The sequence below is a fragment of the Homo sapiens genome, chromosome 1 (genome assembly GCF_000001405.40).
Source record: "Homo sapiens chromosome 1, GRCh38.p14 Primary Assembly".
NCBI lineage: Eukaryota > Metazoa > Chordata > Mammalia > Primates > Hominidae > Homo > Homo sapiens.
The window spans coordinates 184,800,987-184,809,403 of record NC_000001.11 but is presented as its reverse complement, the minus strand read 5'-3'; the positions used below and the strand labels follow the sequence as shown (position 1 = coordinate 184,809,403).

The following is an 8,417-nucleotide window of genomic DNA, read 5'->3' as shown; positions in this document are numbered from 1 at the left end:
AAACTTTTGCCAATCTGATAGGAGCAAAGTGGGAACCCATTTTTCCTCTTCTGTCTGCTTAATTGATATTTTTTAAAAATAGACACATTCCATTTGGTGAGGAGCTGCAAGTTCCACAGCATGCTTTTGATCCTTACTTCACTTCAGTGGACCTCTCCATAACTCACTTCATAAAGGGAGCAGTATTTTCCCTTTAAAGCATAATGAGAGTGGGCCCTCTTAAAATTCCTGTTTAGAGAAATCTAGAAATCTAGATTATCTCTTCTGCGTGAGCTGAAAGTCGGACAGTGCATCTTATATTATTCATATGTAACCTGCCTCACTCCCCAGTTCTCTCTAGAGCCTCCATTTTCAGAACCTTTCTTTCTGCCTTCTTCTGCTCCACCCATTCCCCTGTTTATTTTAAACCTCCAGTATTTCCTTTAAAAAATGATTTTAAACTAAGCTTGGAAAACAGAATGCATTCTGTTGCAACAACATTTGTTGATAACACTTTAGGGCTTTAGCAGGTGAGGTATGATGCTGGAAGCCCAATGGCCTCATTGACTGAGTGCAAACTAGAGTAGGAGGGACCCCAGTTCTTCAAACTGGATACCTCTCCCAGTACAGGGCTCTGCCTATCCACTTCCCATCCACTAGCACCTAAAGCAACCTATAGCAGAGAGAAGCCCTGTGGGCCCTGGCAGATCCTCATAGAATTGTGAGGAACTCTGGCTTCCCTTCCAAAGTCCAGGAGTCCAGGGAGCATCCTGACCTCCCTGGCGTTTTTTGAGAGGAGTGTCACTCACTAAAGAAGATTTTGGAAGCCTGGGGGCCCAGCAGCAACCACGTATCAGAGCCTACCTGTCTGGTTCTTGAGCTCTGGAAGTGGGAGATTAGAGTCCATCAACAGCTTACAAAGACTGGAGTCCCCGTGGGTGCACCGCTGGGTCTTCCTCTCATCCAGTTGGTGTTTCTGCTGGTTTCTGTCCTAGCATTACAGCTACCCTAGGAACCCACTGCAGGAGGAAAATAAGACAGTTGAAGGTGTCACAGATGTAGGGATCCAAGTAGTGATTCACTTTAACAACTTGCATTTGATTGCTTAGAATGTATGTAATATGCAATATATATGCAATACCGCTCCTCATTCTGAGGGTGTTTAATGTTTCCCTTCACCAAAATGCAGCATCTAGACCGGCTTATGAATCTTCCGCTGCATTCCGTGAAGATGGAACCTTGTTATACTAAAGTCAACCTGCTTCACGAGCGCCTGCAGGATCTCAAGAGCCGCTTCAGATTCCCCCACATTGATCTGGTGGTTCAGAGGACACAGAACTACATGCAGGAGGTGGGTGTGGCAGGGGCATCCGTGGTGGATGAGGGTAAAGAGAGAGCAGAGAAATGGGTGCTGGCCAGTGAGACCAGCTGCTAGTGTAGCTCAGGGAAATACGTCGCGTCTCTTTAGCCATCATGTTGCGGGAGGACACGTTCTGTCCCTCCACTGGCTTCATCTTCCATCCATGTGGATGAACATCATAGACAAGACATAGCTCAGAAAAATAAAGTAGCATTAATTGATAACTACTTGATTTGTCAAATCAGTGCTGTAACCTTGGCTACACATTGGAATCACCTGGGGGAAATACTGATGTCCAGGCTGGCGTGCAGTGGCATGATCTTGGCTCACTGCATGCAACCTTTGCCTCCCGGGTTCAAGTGATTGTCTTGCCTCAACTTCCTGAGTAGCTGGGACTACAGGCATGTGCCACCATGTCTGGCTAATTTTTGTATTTTTAGTAGAGATGGGGTTTTTACTGTGTTGGCCAGGCTGGTCTCAAACTCTTGACCTCAAGTGAACTGCCCACCTCGGCCTCCCAAAGTGCTGGGATTACAGGCATAAGCCACCACACCCAGCCTATATGGCTACTTTTTGATAGAACTTCCCTACCCTGATTCCTACTGTTTCTAATATGCAGCCAGGATTGAGAGCCACTGGCTTAAATTAATTCCCTAACGTAATTAAGAGTAAACCAATCAATCAATCACAGCTTCATATTTGAATTTCTTGAGTCTACTTGACAGGTTTCTTTTTTTTTTTTTTCATAAGGAACCTTTTCCCCAGTAACAGGAATGAATAGCACAAACTCCTTCCGTATTATAGTGTTTCCTAAATGAATAAGGGGTACGGTCACCAAAGCTCTAAAGGACACCATGCCATTTCACACAGATATTCTGAGGAGAGATTACTGTGGGCCGGACACTGTACCAGATCCCACTTCAGGGAGCTTGAGTGAGACAAATTCTTAGATAAATTCACTACAATGTTGAAGGTATGATAAAGGTATATATTGTGGCCAGGCACAGTGGCTCACGCCTGTAATCCCAGCATTTTGGGAGACCGAGGCGGGTGGATCACTTGAAGTCAGGAGTTTAAGACCAGCCTGGCCAACATGGTGAAACCCCATCTCTACTAAAAATACAAAAAAATTAGCTGGGCATGGTGGTGCACACCTGTAGTCCCAGCTACTTGGAGGCTGAAGCACGAGACTCGCTTGAACCCTGGAGGCAGAGGTTGCAGTGAACCAAGAGTGTGCCACTGCACTACTCCAGCCTGGATGACAAAGTGAAACCGTGTCTCAAAAAAAAAAAAAAAAAAAAAGGTATATATTGGATGCTTTGGGACCACGGGCTTGGGGAAGAAAGGAGAACTTTTTTTTTCATAAAGGTTATGGGCAGGATTAAGTGATACATTTTAGCTAACTAACCCTTGAGTTGTGAGGGATGAAAGAGGAACGAGGAACAAAATTGGGCAACAGTTTAGCAGAAGTCTCTTTCGTAATACTGGACCCTGGTGACGGGAACACAGGCAAAGGTGCAGAGAATAAGATACCTGAACTACTTCTGCTTTCTGACCCATGAACATGTCAGCCACTGTCCCCACCCATCCCTGACCCTGCCTCTCTTCCCAGCCCTGCAGAGAGAGGGAGAGATAAGCTGTGGAGCGGTTTACATCTACTTAAAGTGGAGGTGCCACCAAAAACTAGTTGAAGAAGGCTCCAGCCTCATCCCTTAATCAGTGGCTGCAGGTATCAAAGAATAGGAGTGCCCACGGGAGATGACAGAATGCTTGCTCAGTCCCATGGCCTTGGGTTTTCCAACTTCTTCCTGCTCCCACTGTGACCACGTGACCATTTGTTTCACAGCCCTGGTGATGGGGTGATGTTGCCTTGGGTACCCCCACCGAATAGCAGCCGAGGGGACTCATCTCTGATGGCCCCTACTCTGCAGTCCCACTTAGCCAGGCCTGTGGGTGGTGATCCCAGCCCCTGACTGTTGTCTGTTTCTGTGTCGCTTCTGGTTTCTAGCTAATGGAGAATGCAGTGTTCACTTTTGAGCAGTTGCTTTCCCCACATCTCCAAGGAGAGGCCTCCAAAACTGCAGTTGCCATTGAGAAGGTTAAACTCCGAGTCTTAAAGGTAAAACCGTTCTCTTGTTTGTGGGAAGCATAAAAAGAGAACGTGACCCCTGTTTCTTTTGTAAAGTGGAAAATACCAAGTTCTCTCCTTGGCTCTAATCTTTCCCCACTCCTTTCTCTCCCAAGTCCAGTGACTGTCAGTCCGCTGCAGTTTCTCCAGTGTGACTTCCATGCCTCTTCTGCCATCTAGCGGCCACTGCTGGTCCTCAGCATCATTACCCACAGCTACAGGCCCCGCGTCCCAGCCTTCATAGAGATCCAACTCGACAAACACGTATTAGCTGTCCACTATAAGCACTGCATGGGATGTAAAAGTAGGCAAGGCACAGCCTCTTTCTTCAAAGAGGTTACAATATAGTAAAATCCATTAAACTGGCGAATAATTTATTGATTTTGAAAAATCAGAACCTCATGGCAAAGGAAATACTCCAAAGAAAAGAAATCTACCATATGAAATTGTTTTAAATGTACTTCAGAGTGTTTATTAAAATAGTTTTAATAATAGGAGCTTTCACATATATGTTATATTTTAAAGCCTCTTACCTGATCCCCACAAGAACTTGTGCATTAACTAGAATATTCCCCCATTGTACAGATGAGGAACTGATTCTGTAAAAGCTAATGTGACTTAATTAAGCTCAACAGGCTGATCAATGGTGAGCTTAAGGATAAACGATCATACACCTAGTCCACTAATTTTTTTTACTGCCTTCTAGTTCCCCTAAACATTGCCTTGGAACAGAAGATCAAAGTCCCACAGAGCCTAGGGGTGGTCTCTGAATTTCAGACTTGATCTTGATGCCTCACAGGCAAGAGGAAACTCTAGCAACTAAATCATTGATATTAAAAACAATATTGGGGCCGGGCACAGTGGCTCACGCCTGTAATCCCAGCACTTTGGGAGGCCGAGGCGGGCAGATCACGAGGTCAGGAGATCGAGACCATCCTGGCTAACACGGTGAAACCCCGTCTCTACTAAAAATACAAAAAACTAGCCGGGTGTGGTGGTGGGCACCTGTAGTCCTAGCTACTCGGGAGGCTGAGACAGGAGAATGGCGTGAACCTGGGAGGTGGAGCTTGCAGTGAGCGGAGATTGTGCCACTATACTCCAGCTCTGGGTGGCAGAGTGAGACTCTATCTCAAAAAACAAAAAACAAAAAAACAAAAAAAAAAACACCAATATTGCTCATGATAACACACATAATGATGAAATTGCAATGCAACTAAAAAAAAAAAGATAGTGTCAGTGTCAAATGCTTTAGCGTACAGAAAGAAAGGAAGAAAAAATGTAGAAAGGTGTTGAAATATTAGGACCTCAGGTTTCAAAGAGATTTTGAGTGCCTTTAGTTCAACTTCATATTCAGTGTTCAGCAGGTTCCCTCAAGGGGTGGTCCCACTAGTGCTCCGACACCTGCACTGGCAGGATACTTTCTACCTCTCAGGATAGCCCATTTTAGTTCTTGACAGCAAGAACATGCTTTCTCATGTTAGGCCAAAGTTCTCACCACTGGTTATTCCAGTTCTACCCCCTTCATTCATAACCTTCTTCCACGTGGCAGCCTTTGGTTGTTTGAATAGAGTTATAACTTGCCCTAACTTATTATCTCCAGTATAAACACCTTCATCTCTTTAACTATTCTTCACTTGGCCTGACCATTCTTCTCGCTGCCTATGACTATACTCTTATTTATCTGTGATCCCCTTGAAGTGAGATCCACAATTAAATCCTGGTCTCCATGTTGGGATGTCCAATGCAGAACAGACAGAATCGTCATCTTTCTTGTTCTGGATACTGAACTTCTTTGGTTAACATGTCACAGTGTTAATGGAGCCACTAGCCAGGCCTTCTCTTCCCTTGTTCAAATCATTACAACCCACTGACCCTGGTTTGAAGATGTGGAGTAATAGATGATCATGGTTTCCATGGACCTACCTGGGACAGGAGTAATAAAATACAAACTCACCCCCCAGTTCTATCCCCAACTTCTTTATAATGCAGAACTCACCATTCTGTTTTGATCTTGCCTCAGTTTCCATACCTGTAAAAGGTAAGAGTGAGATGGGTCATTATCAGTTATAACCTGTGCCTGCAGTGTGAGGGAATTACATGGAAAGATCTCTGAGGCCTTGGAAATACAAGAGTTCTCAGACATTAGGAGGAAAAGAGAGGTGAAGTGGGTGGCTGAGTTTTTTGAGTAAACATAAGTCAACAGATTGTAATGTTACTATTTAACATATGTTTCTTTATTGACAGCAATATGATTATGACAGCAGCACCATCCGAAAGAAGATATTTCAAGAGGCACTAGTTCAAATCACACTTCCCACTGTGCAGAAGGCACTGGCGTCCACATGCAAACCAGTAAGGGGATGAGTTACCCTAAAGAGCTTGCTCTTCTTACCTCTGAAGTTCAAACAAGTTCTTTTGTGATGTGTACTGGCAAACAGCAGACTAGACCAGGGAGGGATTGGCAGACATTTTTGTAAATGGTCAGATAGTAAATATTTTAAGCTTCATGGACTGCACTATTTCTGTTGCAACTATTCAGCTCTGCTGTTGTAGCACACAAACAGCCATTGACTATATATAAACAGACTTTATTTGCAAAAACAAGATGCTAGCCAGATATGCTGACCCCTGGACTAGACAAAATCTCAAAGGGCAGTGATCTGAATTTGAGCCAAACTAGGGGTTGACATAGAATACCTAAGGATACCAGGTGTTTCTCATTATAGTATGACTCATAGGTCCAACGTGTCCTCTGAAACTTGACCACTGTATCCAAAAAAGATATTAGCTAACATAATTACAGGATATTTGTTCTGTTAAATCCAGCAATGTTGTTTAATGAAATCAATGAAACCACTTAAAACCTCTACAAACATTGAGCATCCAGTGAGAACCATGATTGCGAGGGTGTGACTTCATCTGTAGAGCAGAGCAATGGGCCAGCAGAGACTGAAAACAGCTCTGGGAGGAGGTATTATTTATATCCTCATGGTACAAATGAGGAAACCTGAGTGGTTAAGCCACTGAGCCGAGGCCACAGACCTGGTGACCACCAGAGTGTGAACCCAGTTCTTGCTTACCTAAAACATGATAGGCACTCAGAAAATGGTATCAAGTACTACTACCACTATTATTATTACTACTTCTACATTTCAAAAATAATCTATTAACCTGAAGCAAGGCCTGCTCCGTTTTGGAGCAAATGATAAAGAGGTTTTTGGAATTTAAAAAAGGGCTTTTTGGCAGCTCGGAGAGTCTCCAAGCACTGGAACGTTAAAATCCTTTGCATAAGTTATTTTACTGCAACATGTCATTGGTCATTTTTATAGTCTGTAAGTGCTGTTTTCCTTCACATCCTCATAGCGTATTAGATATATTTGGCATTTATTTGTGGGGCATATTTCTTTCATAGGAAAGGATTTGATTAAGCCAAGGGATTGACCTTTGGCCTTACATGGCAGAACAGTTCAGCAGCCAAATGATGATGGTGTCCACTGCTAGGTGGGTTTGCACACAGATGTTCTGCTTAGGATTTTTTTTTTCAATCACAAAGGCAGTTTGGGGGCCTCAGATCCACCTTCTCTCAGGAGAAAGGTAAGGAGAGTTCTCCTTCTCATCGGCTCCCCTCTTTCCAAGCATCAACATAGTGTGCTGTGCCCAATCTGTAAGAGGCTCTTGTAATTTTTTAATCAGGAGGCATTGATTTCAAAAGAGCCTGTGACCCAGAGGTTTTGGTAATGGAGGATATTATATCAGCATCAAGAGCTTTTTAAAAATCTGGATTTGCAGAATAGATGAATGAGGGGATTATCTGCTTCCTAGAAGGAGTCTTTATTTTGCTAAAGTGCATTTCCCTTGGTTCTATAAGTAGCAGCTTCCTAGATCTGTGGTACTCAGCCTCAGCCCAAGCTGTGTATTAGAATTGTCTGGGGAACTGTGAAAAAAATGATTCTGACTCCCCAACACCTACCTTCAGAGATACCAAATTAATTGGCCCAGGGAAGTAAACCTATGGCCCTGTTCAATCAATTCAATATAAAACACCTGTTTTGTAAAGTTGGTCACTTCATGACAGTATATATGTCCATAGAAAGTACTCCTTCCCACAGAATTATTTAGCTGGTTGAAAATTTAAAGGTCTACTGTTTATTGAGTCAGCAAATATGTATTAGATTTGTATCACATGTGATCCAGGCATTGTGCCAGCCCAGCATCCCTGAAGTCCTGGAGTTCACAGTAGAGAGCAGGAGACAGGCAAACAGGATGCCATGTGAGGAACACAGCAGTTGCCTCATGGGGAAGAGTTCCAAGGAAAGTGCCAAACTCTGCTTATACAGCCAGGAAGGACTTCCAGAGTCATGCTTTCACCCAGTCCTGAGGGATGAATGCCAATCAGGGGAATAGGAATGGGGGACCACGTGGGAAGGATGAAAGGGTGTTGCAGGCATGAATCTGTGCCTCTCATTTAGCAGAGGAAGAGACAGAGGCACAGAGCAGTGATATGGCTCACCAAGGTCCCATGTCTAGTCCAGGGCAGTCTCCAGTCTCCTGGGCAATGCTTTTCTCAAATCTGTGCAACAGTCCTGCCTCTAGACCCTCTAGGGGTCTTTGAAGCTCATGTCTCTTCAATCCTTTGCCTTTCTTCTTGGTTGGGTATAAAGGAACCCATTATTACCCGCTGTGATCTGGGCTACAGTGCCCCAAAGTCCCAGCACTGAGAGTTGTCTGAGGTGGTGCTTCTGATCACCTGCTGTAAATACTGTCCTTCCAGGCAAGAGACCGCAAATCCCATGGCTAAGTCCCTGATTCTCTAAGAGCCACATGTGGGAAGCCTTCCCCCAGCACCACCAGGTGCAAGGATTACTGAGTTAATCATGGGATATGATTTGGTACATTTTGATCCCTGCCCTGTCCTCATGCCGATAAAAGGCAAGCCATTTGGAAACCCTT

At 44.2% G+C, this 8,417-nt stretch overlaps 1 protein-coding gene across 6 annotated transcripts in view; it reads left to right on the top strand.

Moving 5' to 3' along the window:
* Positions 1 to 8,417, top strand: part of NIBAN1 (niban apoptosis regulator 1) — a 183,477-nt gene that overhangs the window by 165,105 nt on the left and 9,955 nt on the right. For 4 of the 6 annotated variants that reach the window (XM_047444098.1, NM_052966.4, XM_047444094.1 and 1 more), the window contains 3 exons: positions 1,169 to 1,330; positions 3,348 to 3,458; positions 5,712 to 5,819. In XM_047444098.1, coding sequence (XP_047300054.1) covers positions 1,169 to 1,330; positions 3,348 to 3,458; positions 5,712 to 5,819 — 381 coding nt within the window. The remainder of the gene's footprint in view (positions 1 to 1,168; positions 1,331 to 3,347; positions 3,459 to 5,711; positions 5,820 to 8,417) is intronic. The other 2 variants (XM_047444102.1, XM_047444093.1) reach the window with 1 other exon arrangement.